This window comes from Homo sapiens, chromosome 8, assembly GCF_000001405.40.
Source record: "Homo sapiens chromosome 8, GRCh38.p14 Primary Assembly".
Taxonomy (NCBI): domain Eukaryota; kingdom Metazoa; phylum Chordata; class Mammalia; order Primates; family Hominidae; genus Homo; species Homo sapiens.
The window spans coordinates 97,342,805-97,364,232 of NC_000008.11; the positions used below are offsets into that span (position 1 = coordinate 97,342,805).

Here is a 21,428-nt window from a genome sequence, read left to right on the forward strand (position 1 = left end):
AGTAAGACCAGAAAAAAAAAGTAAAAGGTAGGAAGATTGGGAAAGAAATAAAATTCTTATGACAATGTGATTGTATGCACACATTGTATACAAAAAGATGTACCTATAAATTATTAAAATAAATAAGTGGACTTAGCAAGATTGATAGATAAACATATCCAGGGCAATATAGAAAAATAAATTGTATTTCCAAATACTAGCAACAAATCATGACAAAATAAAAAAATTTTTAAGGTAATATTTATATTAAAATTATGCAATTGCTATAAATTTAACAAAAGATGAACAAAGAATTATTGACAGAAATTTCAAAAAACCTAAGAAAACAAAAGGATTGCATCCACTGACCAAGAATACCACTTTGTATTTCTGCGAGTAGAAAATAAACTTCAACTGTGCTAAGCCAATGAAATCTAGGGATTTATTTGTTATATGTGGTGTTAGACTCCATACATATATTAAAATCACAAATGTTGTGGCTAAAAATGCAATCCAATATGACATTATTTTCTCAGAGATCAATTATTTGTTTAGCCCCTCAAATGAGGCTGTTATTAGATTTCATTTTAAAGAGTTTTAATTAAAAATCAGTCTTTTTCTTCAGCTTTCACTCTACTCATTTCAACAAACTGAGAGGCTTTCCTATTTGTTAGGCTTCAAGGATAAGTTGAGCCAAACTGGTCCCAACCCCATTCTCATGACCAAGGGAAGAAACCCTGGGAGGAACACCACTTTCATCATCTTTCTTTCCTAAATCTCTTACACAGTTTTATTAAAGGGCAGAGTATCAGAGACAAATTTGCCTCCCTTGCCTACTGGTCCTTTAGAGTATCTGCTCTAATCCTTAGCTTCTGGGCAGATGATCATGTGATCCTCCCCCACCCCACAGCCAGGTGGTGTGTAACCAAAAGCCAGTGATTTATGGGTTCACCAAACAAAAAAGGTTCTTTCTTCTGGGACTGGAAGGTTATTCATATCCATTTTAAGCCACATTCATACCAATAAGAAAGCAAGGAAACCAGTCTACAAAGAGAAGCCAGAGAGTAGTGCTCCTGTCTAGAAAAAAGCAGGAGCATGTAAGCATTTGGAGAGAAAGAACAAGAGAGACCACCTCACAGTTTTCTACCTCCTTTTGAGGCTTAGCTATACTTCCTGAACATGAATCCCATCAGACTTCCCTGTAAGCTTCCAATAAGCCCCTTTCCCCTTGAGCTAATTTGAGTTGGCTTTGGTCGTTTGTAACAAAATAGACCCTGATTAAGGCAGAGAGTGTTATGACAGTATTTAGCCAGGAGTCTAAAGAAGAGATGAATCCTGTCTTCTCTCAGTTATCCTTCTGTCAAAGTACAATTTTCAAAATATTAAAAATCTAATTTTCATGTGGATAGATAAGTGAGCACATGTCAAAGTTTTATTCAACTCATTAATGAGAGAAGCAGGATGACAAAGCCAGTGCGAAAGAAGAGATGAGAAAATAGGACTTCTGCAGTCAGAGGGAAGAAAAGGATTCCAAAGTAAAATTGCAAAGTCAGACACAAAATTAGTTAGTGTCCAAGAGAGCAGTAAAGCCATAATATTTGCAATTGTCTTCTCTACAGGACAGAAAATTAAAATTATCACCACCTTTCTACTATTATAAACAACCGAGCCCAAATCAATGTACAAACTATGTTGTATTCCCCTGGAGTGTAAGAAAACACTTAGGCAAGCTTCTCAAGATCAATGCTTCTCAAACTGAAAATACAGACTCCTAGGCCCTGCCCCCAGAAATTCTGGTTCAGTAGGTCTTGGGCAGGGCCTGGGAATTTGCATTTCAACAAGTTCCCAGGTGACATCATTAGTCAGCAAGCCACACTTGCAGTAACATAGCCTTAGATGACATTGCAAAGTCATACAGTAATCCTTTTGCTTTATTTCCAAGTTTTGCATAATTTTCTTAACACTCCACTCAAGGTCCCCAGGGGAAATCTAAGCCTCCAGATGACAAAAAGCAAAATAAGGCTAAATAACACTTCACTCTTGGCTGAAAATTTGAGTCCAAAACTGAATGAAGAACTTAGATGAACAAAATGAGGTCATAGGGAGGAGTCTGTTCCTACGTTGAACAAATGCAGGTCCTTGACTATTTTCCCCAAAGCTCATATTTGAGATCTTCATGTTACCATTGCAGTGCAAGGAAAAATTGATTCAAGCTACACCACCAAAGAAAAGAAACTAAAGAGAAAGGGAGACAGCAAATTCCTTCCAAAATCAAGAACGAAGCTGGCCTAGGCTGTCTTCCCAGAGGGACCTCAGTTTGGTGTCAAAGTAGAGGATAGCACTTCTAAAGGGGAAGAGAAGAGGCAACAGGCCTTCTCCCAAGGGAGCAGTCTGAGATTATTGTGGCTCCAAGGGATAAAGTCACCGGATAAATTATAGGAGACACAACTAAATTTGAATTTCACATAAACAATAAATAATTTGTTAGTGTAAGTATGTCTCAAATATTGCACAGGATATACTTACGCTAAAAAAAATTACTCACTGTTTATCTGATATTCAAATGTAACTGGGCATCCTGTATGTTTCTTTGCTAAATCTGTCAGCCCTAGCAAGAGAATATCTCAACAGGGCCACATCACGTGCAATGGCCTTGTAGCACAGGATACAAACTCGAATGCCTATGGGTGCCAGGAGGATGGTATAATTCAATCAATTACATTGCAGCAAATCTGGGCCTGCATGCTGCTCAACAGGTGCAGCCACCATACAGTTCCAGCCCATTTCCTGGAAAAGGGTTGTAGGCTCGGTGTTACTGGGTCTGATATTTCAAGATATGCCAAAAATTTAGCTTTATGTAAAATCTTCCAATGTTTGGCTGTTGGGACGTAATTCCATTTTTTAAAACATTGAGCAGAAATAAGAATCTCAACCCCCTATAGATTTCACTCAGTTAGTTTTTTCTCAAATCTCACCAAAGCAGGTCAAAACTTCTCTTCCTGGGTATATATCCTGGTCTTGAGACATTGCCAAGGAGACAGAAAGAGAAAAAGAGGAGGCCAATTTGTCCAAACTTCCCAAGAGGAGAAAATAACCTTAAACTTCTCCCAGATACTAACCCCCCAGTTTTTCTTTCTTGCTTTGGTTAGTCTTTTTTTAAAAAGGTTATTGGACACTTGGTGGTTAGCCCACCCAGCTGTGCTGCTGGCCTTCATTGGTAGCCACTCCTGACACGAGGGTTTCAGTCACATCTTTCTTACACTCCCTATTTACACAACAGGGTTATTGAGATAAGGAAATTACTTACATCTATTTGTGTGCCTAGTACAGTGCTTTGCACAGAGTGGAAGATAATTGATAGTGATGAATTCTTTTAGCTTTTGTATATCTGAAAACATCTTTATTTCACCATCATTATCTAAAAAATAATTTTCATTGGTATAGAATTCCAGGTGGACAGGCTGGGTTTTTTCAGTACTATATTTTAAAAATGTTACCCAACTCTCTACTTACATGCATTGCTTGTGACAATTAATTTGTTGTCATTCTTATTTTTGTACAAAATATGTCATTTTCTCTGTCTGCTTTTATAATTTTCTTTTTATCACTGGTTTTCAGAAGTTTGATAATAATGTCCTTTGGTGTCGTTTATGCTTCTTGTACTTGAGGTTTGTTGAGATTCTTGGATCCTTGGGTTTATAGTTTTCAATAAATTTGGGAATTTTTAAGTTATTATTTCTTAAATAATCTTTCTGTTCCCCTGTGCCTCCATCAGGAACTGCAATTATGCACACATTCAGCCACCTAAAGTTGTCCCACAGCTCAGATGCAATATTCTTTTTTTTAAATTCTTTTCTCTTTGTGTGTTCCATTTTGGGTATTCTCTATTGCTATGGCTTCAAGTTCACTAATCTTTTCTTCTGTGTTTTCTAATCAGGTATTAATATCATTCAGGTATTAATATCATCTTGGATTCTGTTTTCATCTGATATGGAGAAGCATTGGATCTGAGTGGGACACATCCTCTCTAATGCACCCTGCCTTTTCCGCTGCTCCAAATTTCACACAAGCGTCAGAAAAATTCAAGACAATCTAGAAAATCTAAGTACAAATACAAAAAGGAAAGTGTTTTCTTTCAAAGCTGTGAATTATATAAAGTGAGTAAGCTCAATAAACATTTGCAGAAGTGGGAACATGTGTTAGTTCATTCTTGCATTGCTATAAAGAAATACCTGAGACTAGGTAATTTATAAGGAAGAGAAGTTTCTTTTAGTTCATGGGTTCTGCAGTCTGTACAAGAAGCATGATGTCAGTATCTGCTTCTGGGGAGGCCTCAGGAAGCTTACAATCATAGTGGAAGGTAAAGGGGGAACAGATGGTGTCACATGGCAAGAGTAGGAGCAAGAGAGGGAGGAGGAGGATCCAGGCTCCTTTTATTTATTTATTGTATACATAACGTGTGTGTGTGTGTGTGTGTGTGTGTGTGTGTGTGTGTGTGTGTGTGTATATTTTTTTTTTTTTTTTTTTGAGATGGAGTTTCACTTGTTGCCCAGGCTGGAGTGCAATGGCACGATCTTGGCTCACTGCAAACTTCGCCTCCTGGTTTCAAGCGAATCTCCTGCCCCAGCCTCCCAAGTAGCTGGGATTACAGGCGCCCACCAACACGCCAGGCTAATTTTTGTATTTTTAGTAGAGACAGGGTTTCGCCAAGTTGGCGAGGCTGGTCTCAAACTGCTGACCTCAGGTGATCCACCTGCCTTGGCCTCCCAAAGTGCTGGGATTACAGCCGTGAGCCACTGCACCTGGCCCAGGCTCCTTTTAAACCACCAGCTCTCACATGAACTCAGAGTGAGAACTCACTCATCACCAAGGGAATGGCACTAAGCCATTCATGAAAGATCTGCCCCCATGATCCAATCACCTCCTACCAGGCCCCATCTCCAAAACTGGGGATCACATTTCAACATGAGATTTGGAGGGGACAAAACTAAATCAGAGTGGGATGGGCAGAAGGGACCAACATTCCACCTCTTGTTTGGAGGGCTCCTGTTTCATTCCTTCTAGGAGGGTGGAAAACCTTCAAAATGAGATCTGCTGTTCCGCTTTCACTCTGTGCTTCCTTTGTGAGAGGACAGGGAAGGAACTGGAGTGGGGAGCTGGGACAGAATGAAAGGGAAAACCCTTTCTAATCCATCTTCTTGCTCTCAAGCTGCAGGGTCAGGTAGACCTAGGATTGAATCCCAACTGTGCCCCATACCAGTTATTTCACCTTGGCAAGTTATTACCTCTCTAAGCCCCAGATCTTCATCTTCAAAATAGGAATAATATTGCTGGCCTCATGGTACTGTTGAGAAATAAATTAGGTCATGTTGAACAATGCAAGTAACGCAATTAGCACAGTGGTTGACATGGAGAAATTAACATTCCATACATGTTTGTTGTATGGTCATCACCCTCATTTTTGTTACTGTCATCACCAGGACCATGTGATTAAAGATGAAAATCTAAATGAACCGCCAGCACAGATCTAATTTTGGAGGTTGGAATTACAGGTCATTTTTATTTTCTAACTCTATTTAATATGAAGATTTATTTGCTTTTCTAAACAGAAAACAAAAGATAAGTTATTTTTAAAAGTTGACCAGTGTCCTTTTGGGATTCCCTTTATCGTACACTGGTGAAAGCTATCTTTGTATTTCTTACCTCTCTCTGCTCAAAGAAGGAACAGTTATGTAGGCTGCAAGCACCCACAGCAGCCCTATAAAGGTAGCCATGCTTCCTACGAATCTGAGAGCTGCAGAGAATGAAACACCCCTCTCCTGCCCTGATGCATTCCAGATTTGGCCACAGGCTCTCTAGACACCAGAAAGAAACAGAGGCTCCAGACTGGCTTGGTTACTATGAAATGAAGTGCAAGAATACTTGACTCCAACTGGGGCCAGCAGTAGCGTAAGGTGAGTGAGATGCCTAGGGTGCAGAATGGAAGGAGGCGCCGACAGTGCACTCAGGTGACCCTGAGAGTATTGCTTCCTTCCGTTTTGCACCGTAAGTACCTCACTCACTTTACCTTAGTACTGGCCCTAATCCCAACCATGACCATGTCCAGAATAATAGCCAGGATCCCAACCAGCCTCCTACCCCACCTCCCCAGCCCTTGGAAGAGAAAGAGGGTTTATCAGACAGTTCTTTATGGCAGGTGTACTGCCTAGACACCCAGTGGAAAATTTACATCCAGAAATCTGGGGTTGTATACTCTGGAGGGAGCAAGGCAGCCTTAGGCTCCAACCTAGTTGAGATAGCGTTGTCATGTCCTGTCCACCTTCTGGGGTCATGGTGCCCTCTGGTGCAGTCAGCCTGTCCCCCAGACTGTACAGTATGTGCCTTCTCTCTATCCACAAGGTTCTGCAGGAGAACCAAACCAAACAGCTCTCTTAGCCAGAAGCTGAGCTCATCAGCAATTAACTTCCTTCACAAGCAGCTGCTAGGCCCCCATCTGTGTTGGCCTTCTCTTTCCATTTGTCTATAGGAATCCTCCCCTCTCTCAACTGCACCAAGGTCTGTGATACTATTTCCTCCAGAGCATCACAGAACAACTCCCACCCCAGTTGCCGCCCCCTTCTACCTGCCAGAACAGCAGCCTCCTGTCAAGACCCCTCAGGTTTTCTGGCTTTTTTGGGTTGCATAGATCAGCATAATCCTTAGTGTTGAAAGCAGTAGATAATTAATTTCTGCTAATGATTTTCTGCCTTGTCTCCTAGACTCCTTTCAGTAACTCCAACGACAATTTCAGCATTAAATGATTCAGCACTTCCCTTGCTTCCAAAGGAATTCACTGCCTGGTTTATCTATTTGGCCCACTGAAACCTCCCTTTGCCCTTAGCTACAGTTTCCCTCTCTTCTCTGACAGGTAGTGTTTCTGAGTCTCCCGGCCTCCAGCACTGCCCATGTTGCTGCTCCACTTGCCCCTCCACCCTGGAGTCAAAAAACACTGATAATAATACAAAGAAAGTCTGATTCTTCTGTCTTTGGCATGCCTTGCAAATCCCTGTCAATAACTAGAAATTTAACAGGTGTTACTTTTAGTGAAGGTATTGTTGACCAACTCTGCTTCCCCCAGCTGGGTTCCTTGAATGGCCCTTGATAAGTGTGTGCAAGACCATGTTGTTCCTCTTGGGGACTTCTTTTCCTTACTCAGTCATGAATGATGAAACAGACCAGATGTGGCCCCGAGCTGCTCAGGTTGTAGGAAACAGTGGGAAAGATTCCCCCACTATTTCCACTTTCACTAGGGCTCGCACTACAGAATGCAGACCTTTGCCTGAGCTCACTCTGGCGTTTCATCTTGCTAGCCGTGAAAACAACCCAACACAGTCCTGCCTCCTTTCCTTTAGCAATTGTCATGTGTTGGGCATCAGAATTATTGTCTGAAAAGTTATTTTCTTTCTCTTACACTCAGATGCCCAGAAACATGTATCTGGGCTAACTAAAAGACAGAAAATCTTTATTCATAAAATTTATATGGGAGAATTAACACATGATACCATCACACATTCTTCTGACTCTTTAGCCAGTCTAAGTTCTTTCTTCCACTTAAATTTGTCCTTAAAGCAAAGGAAGGCCTGATGAGTCATGTAGAATCTGTGAGTATATTCAAAGCTTCCAATAATTACTTTCTACCCATCACATGAGAGGTGACTGGTGACACAGATGTTTAAACATGGCCTAAGTTAGTATCTGACCAGAGGCTATCAAGGTTATTGTGAGATGATCATCTTATTGATAATTTAAAATTGGCAGTGTATTTGGTTCCATTAACTCCAAATCAAGACAGGCAGTTTCAAAATTGCTTTCCCTGGTAAAAAAAAGCTCTGTCTCCAGAAAAAAAAAAGAAAAAATGGAAGAGGATGTTTGTGGGTGAAGAAATGTCCCCTGGGCAGGAAAGTAGAAACAGACCATGCTTATATGACACTGAATAATAGTTAGAATAAATGGTTCAGAGCAATGACTAAATAGTCAGAGCTGCCTGAAGCAGCTGAACGAAGTAGGATTTTCACCAGTAACTGTTTGATTACAACCCATTAAAAAGCTGACTTGGTGCCGGGTGTGGTGGCTCACATCTGTAATCCCAGCACTTTGGGAGGCTGAGGCGGGCGGATCACTGGAGGTCAGGAGTTCAAGACCAGCCTGGACAACGTGGTGAAACCCTGTCTCTACTAAAAACACAAAAAAAATTAGCCGAGTGTCGGGGTGGGTGCCTGTAATCCCAGCTACTTGGGAGGCTGAGGCAGGAGAATAGCTTGAACTTGGGAGGTAGAGGTTGCAGTGAGCTGAGATAGCGCCACTGCATTCCAGCCTGGATGACAAAGTGAGACTCTGTCTCAAAAAAAAAACAAACCTGACTTGCTTTGCCTCCTTGTTCCCTCGTCTTCTAAGTTCTGCTTTTTTGGCCCACTCTGGATGGTGCAACACTCATTGTTCAACCAGTTTATCCCAAAAACATTTATTGAGCACCTATTCCATTCATAGCACTGTGCTGGGCCCAGGAGAAATACGAAGATGAAAAAGTTATTCTGTACTGTCAATGACATTAGAGTAACCACAGACATATACAAGTAAATAAAAAATTAAAAGTCAGAAAAGAAGGTTATCATTGTTATGAAAGAGATATAAGAAAGAACAAAGAAGGCAATTTGCTCTGAGTAGATAATGTTTATTTTGATTTCAGTCATGTTAAAATTAGTTGTCTAATGGGGCATTATGATTTTCCAAGAAGAAGATAAAGGATGCCTTGTTTCCCAAACTCATGTTCATGGCACAGGGTGCCTTCATTTATGGCAAACTGGTGACTCTCTTACTGAACTCAATCTGGAAAACGCTGGAGAAAGGCATCTATTGTGCAGAGGAAGATGTGTTTGGTAAGGGAGGTTGGGGTGTGATGGAAAGAGGCCTTGAAATTTCCTGCTCAGAGGAAACTGGCTCAGCCTTCTTTGCTGCATTTGTGTTTCTCTGAGGCCAGAATGGTTGTCCAGTCAGTTTCACATGCTGGTGTGTTTCATTCAAGGCGGAACTTGTTCCTCGGGATGAATCTAGCATAGTGAGGGACCCTCTCCAGAGCCTTTGCTTCCTCAAGTCACTCAGTGTGTTTACCCCCGGTCAATGGGCACAAAACAAATGTTCAGAGCTAAAATTAAATGAACCAACAACACATTGTAAAGGCAAAACCAGAGTGCCCCTATTTACACATCTGTAAAATGGTGTTTACCATTTGCAAACCCAAAACATGCTAATTACAAAGATGAATAAAAAGAAACACAAAGCATTGTGTACCCATTGAAAAGAGAACATGCTTCAGAAAATAAAAAGTAAAGTTTGTCAGAATATTGTTTTTTCTATGAAATGAGTTAATGGATTTTGTGTACAATCCTAACACATTTTGTAAATCAGAATTTATAAAATTCAAAACCTGCCTGATGAGTAATAGGCCACTTGAGAAGAATCACCATCTTGGGACCAGATTCCACCAACATTCCTAATGGCTAATAGTTATTTTGTGTTTGCAATTTATGAAGTACTTTTGTGTCTGTGATCTCAATTAATGTTCACAGCAATCCTGTTAAGAAGTTAGGACAACTCTTGCACCCATTTCACACATGAGAAAACTGAGGCTTGGGTAATATCTGCCCAAGAGAGTGTAATGAGCATCAGACTTGGCCCTGACACTCTCACCCCAGAGTGGTCCTTCCACTCCCCTGTGTTCTCTCCTGGGACACGTGGCAGCTGCTTTAAGTACCAGACTTCCCAAAGGGACAAGGAGTTTCCTCACCCTCTTATTAATTCAAATATGTATTCATTCATTTAACAGCCCTCACTGAGTGTTGCTAGGCACAGGAGATATCATGGTGGCAGAATGTAGGTACCCCCATCCTTCTCCAGTTCTTAGTTAGCTGAACAAGACACACAATGAAACAAGCAGTAATAATGGAGTGTGGTTATACTATGACAGGGCAGCCACAGTAGTCACTGGCCTAAACTGAATGTACCCATTGTCTATAGCATTCAACTGTCCCTGGGCTTTGCAGCCTTTTGCATAATAGTAATAACTATCATGTCAAGGCTCAAACTCAGAAGGATCCACTTTCAGGCTCACTCACGTGGGAGCTGGCAGGATTCATTTCCTTGGGGCTGTTGGACTGGGAGCTCAGTTCCATACTACTTAGCTGGAGGCCATCCTCAGTCCCTTGTCACATGGGCCTCTCCTTAGGGCAGCTCATCACATCAGAGTCACAGAGACAGAATGCAAACAAGGTAGTCTTTTACAAGCTGATCTCCAAAATGACAGACCATCACTTCTGCCATAGTCTACTAATTGGAATCACTAGGCCCAGCCCACATAAACACAGAAGGAGAGGGTCATGCAGGGAGCAAACATCAGGAGATGGGATCACTGGAAGCCATCCTGCTACTCTTGCCAACAGCTAATTTGTAGTATATTCAAAACCCAAATCCAAGTCTGTCTGACTTACAGTAGCTGTGCCACGTCCACCAAATGACAGTCTCACAGGTCTCCAATATGTGCAGAGTTCATTATATTACATTTCCAAGGCACTATTACATGTGTGATTTGTTTCATTCAAGGTACACACGGGTAGATATCTTAATTCTCATTTTATAAAGGAAAAAACTGAAAATCACAGAGTGTAAATGACTCATGGACTTCTGTAGGTCATGGTAATTTTTAGTGTTGAAGTTAAATGACTTTTTAGTGATGGAACCTAAATGATACGCCCAAGCTCACACCAGATGGAGCCTGGGTGCAGGTTTTCTGCCTCCAAATTCCAAGAAGTTCAATGCTGTAACTGTATCTTCCATTGATTTCCACCTATTTTCCACAAAGCCCTCCCATGCAGCTCCTAACTCCCACCTGTCTGTAGATAGCAGCGTCAGATCCTAAAGCCACCTAAAGCCCATCAGAGGGCACCTCAGGCTCCCACGACTTTCCAATGTGACTGCACCTCCAAAGCCACCATGACGGGAAGATTGGGAATGAAGCGAGAAGAGGAGGTCTGAGAACTTTGGGATCGTCCCCTGCGTGTTGAAGACAGATCTCACTTCCCTTCTTGGGGATCACAAGGTAACTTTTACAGAGTTAGAAGTGGAAAAATGGCTCATCCAGTACTCAAAGAGCATCCATCTTACTTTCGTTCTTTTGCAGGTAGCTCTGGCAACTCTTCTTCTTCTCTTGCCAGTCATAACCAATCACTGAGAACTCCCAAATCCCCTTCACACCCACCCTCTGCTGCCTGCTCATGCAGCAGCCTCCTTACTGAGTTGTTTTCCTGCCTCTAGTCTCCACCCTGAAATCCATTCTCCATGGCACCCAGAGTGAGCTTCCCAAACTTTGATCTGATCTTAGAACTCTCCTACTTAAAACCTTCCATGGTTCCGCATTGCTTCCAGCATAAGGCTGATATTCCTTATCATAGTGCCAAGGCCCTGCCCATCTGGCCCTCTCCTTTCTCTGCCAGCCTTAGCTCTCATCATTCTCCCATCATCACTTCTGCTCCAGACACACTGACCTGGCATGGCCAGTGTCTCCCATGCGCCCTCCTCTTCCTCATTTTCTGGCTGTCCCTGCTGTCTCCCAACCCCTTTATTCTTAACCTGATCAAGACCTCCAACTCATTCCTCATCTAGATTTGGTATCCTTCCTTTGTCATCCCATAGAATGTCTTGCTGTGCCTGTCACACTGTGTTGTTATTGTATGGTCAGCACCAGAAGGAGCGAGCCTGAGTTTGCCTTGTCAGTGATATCCACTGTGGCCAGCATAGTATCAGGGCCATGGGAATAACTTAGCAAACTTGTTGAACGAATGAGTGAATGAAAGCAATCTCCATTCCCATGTTCCTGGGATTAAAGGCTTCCATGTGCTTACTCACCCACCCACGGGTCACCGAGCTTCCTTTAGTCCTGATGACTCCAGGGGGATTGTCCAGTCATTGGTGGGGCCCCCCACTGCTTGAGGCAACCTATTCATACATTTGTTTTGTCAGCAAACATTTGTGCCAGGCATGTGCTGGGTGCTGGAATAGAGTTGACGATGAGTAAGGAACATAAGAGTCCAGTCCAAAATGAGTTCTCAGTCTGGTGCCTGGAGCTTACGCAATTTCAGAGTTCCTTGGGGAAATAATAGGTTCATCTTTAAAAGTACCTAATAAAGACACTATCTTGGTATTACTATCCTCTTTCAAATATGTCTGATTTTTACTCACTGTAGCATTATCAGCTTATTCTACTCATATTCAGCCTATTCTGTCCACTGTTATATTTTTGTTTCACTTTTTAAGTTTTGGGGGTATGGGGCCAGTGGCTAGCAATGTGGCAGGGCTCAGACCTCCTCTGCATTGATGACAGCCCACACACCAGCTGCAGCTTTATTGTTTGGAATTGTTTTTGAGATGGTAATTATTTTAGGAGTTACTGGTGAAAAGCAATATGGGTCAGCAATATAGTCAGCAATATACTTTAACATTTTATGACCCTTTCTTCATTCCTTTCTAGTTAAAAAATAAAAAATAAAAATCCTTCTTAAGGCTTAGGGGGTTGTAAGCTTCTATAGGATTTGAAGCCATCATCGTTAGAGTTTGCATAGTTCATACTCCAGACTGCTCCAGTCTATGAGAGGAGAGGAATGCTCCAGCAGGATGGACCTGAGTTTTTCTCCTCCAATATAAATAATTATATTATTAAATGTACCTACAAATAAATAGGTACATTTATTTATTCATGTATTTATTTATTCTCTCATTAGTTCTAGTATTTATAATAGTCATAATTATGTAGCATTGACTCAGTACTTACTGTACGCTAGCCACCACATTAAATGGTTTCCATTTATTACCCACCACAGCCTTAAAAAAAACCTTAGTACTCTTGCTATCCCCATTTCATAGATAACAATGAGGATGCTGAGATTTGACAAGGTCAGGTAAGTCACCCTGGATTAAGAGTCACACAAGGATTAAGTGGCAGGACAGGAATTTGACCTCAGGCCAGCCTAACATGGGAATTCACATTTTTAACCACTGCACTCTTCTCAATTCCCTTAATTCCAGAAATATTTGAGGTGGGTTACAAAAACACATTCAGTACACAAGAAGGCAAATCAGTGAAGTAAACAGATAAAGAGGAAAATTCAGGCAGAAACAAGTAAGATGAAGTTAGACTTAATATACTACATATATACCCACAGAGTCCTGTGCACTTTGTAGAAGAACGCAGCAAATTTGATTCTATATTTCTCAAAGAGAGAAATGTATTCATTTACATGTTTTACCATATTCATAAAATCAAAAACAAACTAGGTGCTCAGGGGAAAAAACTCTCCATCTTGATACTGAGACTTACAGAAAACTTCTCACTTGAGCCTCTTAAAAAATTACTGTGTAACATAATAATAGACTGTTGAACTTTACAGCATCCCTACAGCAAAGTCAGCAACCATTCTGTGAGACTGTTTCACAGATCCATTTATAACACATCTCAGTGTAGTGAAACATCAAAGCCTAGGTTAAAAGGGCAAACCTCAGATTTTACAGCTTTCCAATGGCTTGGCTGAATCCCAGGAAGCAGAGCTCCAAAAACACATTTTCTTACACCAAGCCTGGAGATTTACTCCCTGACACCAGTCTGGGGTGCAGGAATTCCACAGCACCAGTCAGATGCAGGCCTGTGTCCTTCCGTAAAGTGTACAGGTGTTGACATCTTCCTGTGAAGAGCAAGGAACGCATACAGGATGAGCATCTGATGTCTGTGCCTCACCCCCACCTTTATGCAGAGCCAGACACTGGCGGGGCTCAGATCCCCTCAGAAGAGGATTCTGGTGGCATCAGGTAATGTGGGTGATGCATTCTCAAAACCTTACTCCATAGAGCATGGCTATGATCATTTCAACCTGGAAAAGTGTTTAGTCAGCTGTTACTAAACTCTAGGCATAGTCATGTAAAAGTCAATCAATCAATACATGGATTAAAGTGTATTTTGACTATATAACACTAAGCAGTATCACATCCTGTGGGAGCCTCCAAGGTAAACCAGTAACAAAATACATGGACTTGTAGAGGGTTGTTAGGACAAGTTAGACGTTGGAAGATGTTGTTGATATGGCCAATGGGACTCAACCTCAGCATCTGGAACAATTGTTTCTTCCCACCTCCTTTAAAGGCAACTGTCAGAGTCCAGACATGGCATCCTAGAGCCACAGAACCAATCTGTCCACCTAAACAGTACATCATCATCCCTGGGCGCAACCAGGAGTCTGCCTACATGTATTAGTCTGTTTTCACACTGCTATAAAGATGCTACCCGAGACTGGGTAATTTGTAAACAAAGGAAAGAGGTTTAATTGACTCACAGTTCCGCGTGGCTGGGGAGTGGCTCAGGAAACTTACAATTATGGCAGAAGGGGAAGCAAGCATGTCTTACATGGCGGCAGGAGAGAGCACATGTGAAGGAGGAACTGTCAAACACTCACAAAAACATCAGATCTCATGAGAATTCCCTCACTATCACGAGAATAGCATGGGGGAAACGACCCCATGATTCAATTACCTCCCACTAGGTCCCTCCCTCGACACATGGGGATTATGGGGAATACAATTCAAAATGAGATTTGTGTGGGGACACAGGGCTGAACCATATGACTACACTCTAAGTGGGAGTGTGAGGCAGGCTGTGCTGCTGTGCCTTAAAGAACTGTGTGGTCACTGAACTTTGGATCCTACACTCCATCAGTAACCATTTTACACATACATATATATAGTAGATTATAAGTATCAGTTACTGTACAGTATTTTATAAGCAATACAAAACATCCATTAAAATAAAGATTGGGAGGAATGAAATATAAAATGAATATAGAGAGAAGTTCTCTGGAAGTTCTATTTTCTTCCCACATTTCTTCGTATCATCCTGCACACTCCTCTTTGGAGAACACTGTCTTAATGTAAGAAGCTGGGCCTTCTCTAAACCACCTCTTGGCACTTCCAGCAAGCTTTTCATCATCCAACCCCAACCCATCTCCCCAGCTGTCCCTGCTGGTGCTCTCCACCCATACTCCACTATCCACCATGACAGCATACACACCATTTCCTGCATGCACAATGTACTCTGCATTTTTTTGTTCATGTCATTCCTTCATCCCAAATGCCTCTCCCTCTTTCTCCAGCTATCAAAATTTTCAGCTTGCAAGACCCAGTTCAAATTCTATCTCTACCCTGTAATTAACCTAGATCCCTTCTCAAATAGAATGAATCACTTTCTTCCATAATATTAACTAAAATTATATTTTCTAATCTTCCCAATATCCCTGCAAAGTATTATTGAGTATTTGACAGATCAGAAAAGGCTCTTTTCTAGTCAGAAAGACTATAGAAGGCTCTTTTTCTAGTCAGAAAGACTATAAATGGCTCTTTTCTAGTCAGAAAGACTATACTCTCAGGAATCATTTCTATAGTTTTTTACTAGAGAAATTTCTCTGAACGTGTAGAGCACTGGAAACCGTGAGGAGAAGCTGCCTTCTCTTCTGAGCATGAAGTGAGCTCTCAGTGTTGCTTCTCTGCAACTGCCATTTGCCATTGATGATCGTTCTTCTCTTCCTCTGGGAGAGTAAAAGGGTACAGGATGCAGTCTGAGTAATTACTGCTTTAAAAAAGAAAAAGAAAAGTCTCTTGGATATTGTGTAATTAACCCATACCCCTAGTGACTGACAGGAGCAGAATTTGAACTCATAACACCCCGGTGGCTATGTTCTTTCCAGTGCACTAAGGTTTCCTTCATGCCTTGGCTTCCCATGACAGAAACTGCACTCTATATATATTCTCTTATGACATCTTCAAGTAGCCCTGTGAATACATATTATCATCTCTAGATTGGAGCTGAAAAAACAAAGCCTTGGAAAGGTGAGGTAGCTTGCCTAACGTCACTTAGTTAGCAAACAGCAGGGATGGTTCCAACCCAGGTTAGTCTGACTGTAGATCCCATATTCTTTCTGTTTTGCCATGCAAGTGGGTCTATTCTTCTCATTACTTGTTACTTTCACCTCACTTTAGCTTTTAGTCATTTTGCCTTGGCTTAAATAGCAACTTTAATACCTCTTTCCTTCAATGCTCTGTGAGGTAACTGAGGACAAGAAAATATGTTTCACTCAAGTCTCTGGTGGCCAGAAACTACATATCAAAAGTATGTTTATAAATGTGAAGTTGAACCCTATAGGAAGAATGATTGCAAAGAAATCTCAATTCACTGTGCTGTCTCTGTCTCTAGAGTTTTTGTACCTATTGGCTTGCCAACACTGCATTCAAAGAATATGGAAAGGAAACTGAAAACGGTGGAAGAGACCACCACCTCTTGCTATCTCCTAAAAGATCATTTTTAATAAACTGCAGCCTACCCTTGAAAACTGTCTATCATAAGCAGAGTGCTGGCAACATCTCCTGAAAGATGATAGAGGTCCAGGTGGCCATCCAGATGCTGGAACATGCCTGAGGACGTGGGGGGATGTTTAAAATAATTGATAATTTTGAAAACAGAAAACAGTTTATTATACAAGGATATAAAGAATAAAATATTTTGTATAGCTGTACAGTGTGTTTGTATTTTGAGCTAAGTATTATTACAAAAGGGTCAAAAAGTTAAGAAAATTTAGAAGTTCATAAAGTTAAAAAGTTATAGCAACCTAAGGTTAATTTATTATTGAAGAAAGAAAAATATTTTTATAAAGTTAGTGTAGCTCAAGGGCACAGTGTTTATAAAGTATACAGTAATGTAGAGTAATGTCCTGGGCCTTCTGAGAATGTATCCCATCACTAAGTGACATGATTGTAGTAAACTCCTTGCAGATGTTGACTAAGTCAAAGATTTTGAGATGAGAAAATTCTCCTGGGTTATCTGGATGGGGCTAAATGCCATCATATGTATCCTGGTAAGGGAGAGGCAGAGGGATATCTGACACAGAAGAGAAGGCAATGTAACCACAGGGACCAAGACTGGAGGAATGTGGCCACAAGCCAAGGAAAGCTGGGAGCCACCAGGAGCTGGAAGAGGCAAGGAACCTACGCTCTTCTAGGGCCTTTGGAGGGAGTGTGGCCCTGCTGACTCTGGTTTCAGCCCAGTGATACTGATTTCAGATTTCTGATTTGTGGTAATTTGTTAGAGCAGCCATCAGGAATTAATATACTAGTAAGAGCTTTAGTGCAAGGGGATAGAAGCGAATGACACACATGACAAGTAATAACTTAGGTACAGTACTCAGCACCTCTCCAGTCTTAAGCATGCTCAAAACCTTGGCTACCGCATTCCAGGGAAACCAGGCTATCCCCCACCACCAAAAACCCATGCTTCTTTGGACATTCTATCAGTTCAGATGGAGGATGATTATTTCTAAGATGACCACTCCACCATCCACCAAAGTCCTGCAAAAAATAACTCTCTGTGGCTTTCCAGTTAGTTAAACCCACCACGATCATGGGCTTCTCTTTATTATTAAATATAAGTTCTAATGGATGCTATCCTCACCTTCATTCTCATCCCTGTACCTCCTTGGATTTTATCTCCTTAGGCCTGAACTCCCACTGGTCCCAAACCTTCCACCAGGCCATTTGGGAATGCTACCCAATTTAAAGCACCTTGCTATATCCTCAATATTTTCCCCATGCCTTTACTGCTCTCACTCCATCTGGGTTTTGCCTATCACATTGAGAACCCCAAGCCATTCATCCCGTCTACTGATCAGTCCTTTCTCTCTTCACTTCCTTGCCCACACGGTCCAGATCCTACAGCTCATTAGTTCAGCCGCTCCTTTGCCAATATCTTCAAATCCCTTACTCCATCTGTCCTCCTGTTGCACCTGCCTGGCAAAATCCCACACCCAAACCAATGCAAACATCTGGCCTTCCTCATCTCTACCTGGGCTTCTGGCATTCCTCATCTCTACCTAAGCTTCTGAGCAGTGGCGAAGAAAATCAAAATATCCATCAAAACTCTAGCTAATCATGGTCTCTGGCCTCACCTGGATCCTTAAGACAGTGTTCGCATTTTTCTAGTTAGCTTTCTCGACAGTGGCTGTATCAAACCTTCTCCACTCTTACCAAAGCCCCTATGACTTCTTTACCCTCTCAGCCTTGTGCATTTATTTATCCATTCATTGTTTCTTTCAACAAATACTGGCTGGGTGTCAACCATGTGTCAGATGCTGCACTAAGCATAAGGACAACACAGTGAAAAGACAGATATGGCCGCTGCTCTAACAGGACTTAACAAGCTACCGGAAAACACTCTCTCAGAAGACCACCTTTCTGAGAGAGGAGACACAGAAGCTATCTGAGGATTATTTCCACCTTCCTGTGTCCAGACTCACATCGTTGCACCTTCCTTCTATCCTCCTTTTTTGTACAAAGAGAATCATGTTTCTCCTGTCAACAACCAGTCCCTTGGCCGATGCTCCAAGGTCCCTTGCGTCCCCACTCCTTGAACTCCTTGTTCTCTAAGTTATCCCTCTATCTTGAATTGCCGCCCTTTCTTTCTCTTTCTAATGTCTTTTCACCACCAGTGTTTAAAAGGTCTTAGGTCTTTTCCATCTAAAAAAATATATAATTACTCTCCCAAGCTGCTGTCTTATTTTTCTCCTATTCACAGGCAAACTCGTTTAAAGAGTTGTCTGCGCCCCTAGTCTCTGCTTCTTGCTTCCCAGTCCCCCACACACCCACTATAATTTGGCATATGCTCCACTCCCAGGCCCCGTCTTTCTTGACGTCTGTATAGGATTTGACACCGTTGATTACTCCCCCCTTTTTGAAACACTACTCCTTTAGTTTCCATAACACTACACTCTTCTGGTTTGTCTTCTGTCTCTCTGTGATAAGCAGAATTCTAAATATGTCCTCTCAAAATTCCCATCTCCCAATTATTCAATTAAACACTAATCTAGTTTTTGCTGTGAGGAGACTTTACAGATGGAGTTCTGGTTACTAATCAGCTGACCTTTAAATAGGGAGAGTGACCTGGATTATTCAAGTGGGACCAATGTAACCACATCTGCCCTGAAAAGCAGAAGAGGAAGGCAGAAGAGTCAGTCAGAGAGATGTGGCAATAGAGAGTCAAAATGTGAAAAGGACTGTGCTGTCACTGCCGGCTTTGAAGGGAGCCATGAGCCAGGGAGTGTGAGTAGCCTCTAGAAGCTGAGGACATCTTCCATTCAGCAAGGAATTTTACCAATAACCTGAGAGAGCCTGGAAATGGATGCTCCCCGCTGGGGCTTCCAGCCAGGACTGCAGCTCTGCTAACTCTTTGATTTCAGCCTGGTGAAACTCTAAGCTAAGAACAAACTAAAAACCAGCTGAGTCATGCTGTGCCCAGACTCCTGACCTACAGAACTGAGATAATAAATGGATATTATTTTTAAATGATGAATTTGTGTTCATTTGTTATGGCCACTATCAAAACTAATACATTTTCTATCTGCTCCCTCTCTGCCTCTTTGGGGACCTGTCTTCCTCTATCTGTCCCTTAAACATCATTTTCTGTTCTACTCATTCTCGTGAGTAGTATTATTAGCTCTATGCTTCCATTTCTATCTATATGCTACTAAATCCATAAGCCATAACTCTTTGTCAGATATCTTTGCTGAGTTCCAAACCAATAAATCCAGCTGTCTGATAGATATTTCCATCCATATGACTCAGACGCACCTAAAACTCAACATATCCAAACTTGAACTCGTTATCTACCCCTATAGCTGCTCTTACTCCTGAGACCTCTATGGCATAATAGTTATCCAGCTGCCAAAGTCTAAACCGGAGCCTCATCCTGGCTTCTTCCTCTTCTTTGATGCTAAATCAAATCCCCACATGCTATCTATTCCAACTCCAATTTCCTCTAATCCTTCTACTTCCCTCAGTTTTTGCAGCACAAGTCACCATCATCTCTCATCCATGCTACTGCAAAAGCTCCTTACTGGTCTCCTTCTCTCCAGTGGTACATCCTCCAGTTCATTCTCCCAGCTGCAGTCAAAATATCACTCCTGAGATAAAAATCACTCTCCTTGAGGGAAATAGAAGAGTAATATGTCTAAAGACCAAGTTACCATTCTGAAGAATGAAGTCAAGAAAATCATCCATAACTAGGGCAAAAAGATAAAAAAAAAATGAAGGAAAAAGTAAGAGACGTGGAGGATTACTTCATGAGGCCCAATATCATCTATGATTTCTTAAATGTGGGACTGGGAAGTAATTTTTAACATAAGAAAATATTCCAAAGTTCTAGAAAGGAATTTCCAAGTGCCCTAGACTATTAATTAAAAAAAGACCCATGCTCAGGCATATCCTAATAAAATTTCTCATCGGATGCCTGAACACCAGGGAGAAATATATTGAATCTACTAATATAAAACAATTTTAAATCTAGAATCCCATTTTCATCCAAACTAACTGACTAATAGAGGTCAAAAAGAAAGTATTTTCAAATATACATAAAGACCACCTCTCTAAATGAATTGTCTATGATGTAAACTGTGCCAGTATTTTAATTAACCTCATACAATTCTAGAAAGTTGTCACCTCTGACAGATATGATTAAAGCAAAACAAAAAATGTCATTCTACCATGACTTGTAAGTAAAGAAACCAGGATCACTTACAGTTAAATCCAAATAAGTTGGTGCATGTTTTGCAGCTGACCAGATTTTAGAATTTTGCTATCTCAGGGATAGATTATACTTTGATTCTTTGAAGCACAATGGGATGAATTTCAGAACACCAAGAGACAGGCTGATCAAAGGATTTCACCACCCTTTATTCACTATCATATGCAATGTTTAAATAATATTTAGACATTGCCCATATTGATTTCAGCTCTCTGCCCAAACATTGGAAACACCAATTATGTAAACAGTCCCAGAATCCAGAGCTAGGGTTGCTTGCATAGTGCTTAAGGGTAGAGTATACAAAGAACGCCAGGAACCTGATGCCAAGCCCTACAGGGAACTTTCAGGTTATAATTCCAGCAAGCCGATTATAGACCTGTGGCTAAATTTACTTAAAACCACCACCCAGGGCGAAATCCATTGTGAACACCAGCCATGGCAAAATCCCATTACAACTTCCTTCTGATACAAAGGCACATAATAAAAGAGCAAGCAATCAAGAGTCCCAACCAAAAGACCTCAAGTGGGGCCTCACAAATATTTTTTCTCCATTTCCCAGATCTTGCAAGATAGGGCTGTAGAGCCCTTGGGCATGCTGCTGAAAAACACTGGTTACCATTAGCAACCACTGTTTATTCCAGGATTTTGTTTTATTATTGGCTATAAGGATAGTTACACCAAAACCTTTCTATGCTACATCAGTGACACAGTGGAAGCTATTTTAATATTATAAACTCATGTGATATTTCAGTTT

General features: G+C 41.3%; 1 long non-coding RNA gene and 1 other non-coding gene across 2 annotated transcripts in view; one reads left to right on the forward strand and one right to left on the reverse strand.

The window, feature by feature from the left end:
* LOC101927066 (uncharacterized) overlaps window positions 1-21,428 on the reverse strand; it is a 494,634-nt gene that overhangs the window by 390,941 nt on the left and 82,265 nt on the right. The gene's annotated exons all lie outside the window — the stretch shown is intronic.
* SNORD3H (small nucleolar RNA, C/D box 3H) lies at window positions 15,461-15,670 on the forward strand. The gene has a single exon (NR_145760.1). It is a non-coding gene; the product is annotated as a small nucleolar RNA, C/D box 3H (small nucleolar RNA).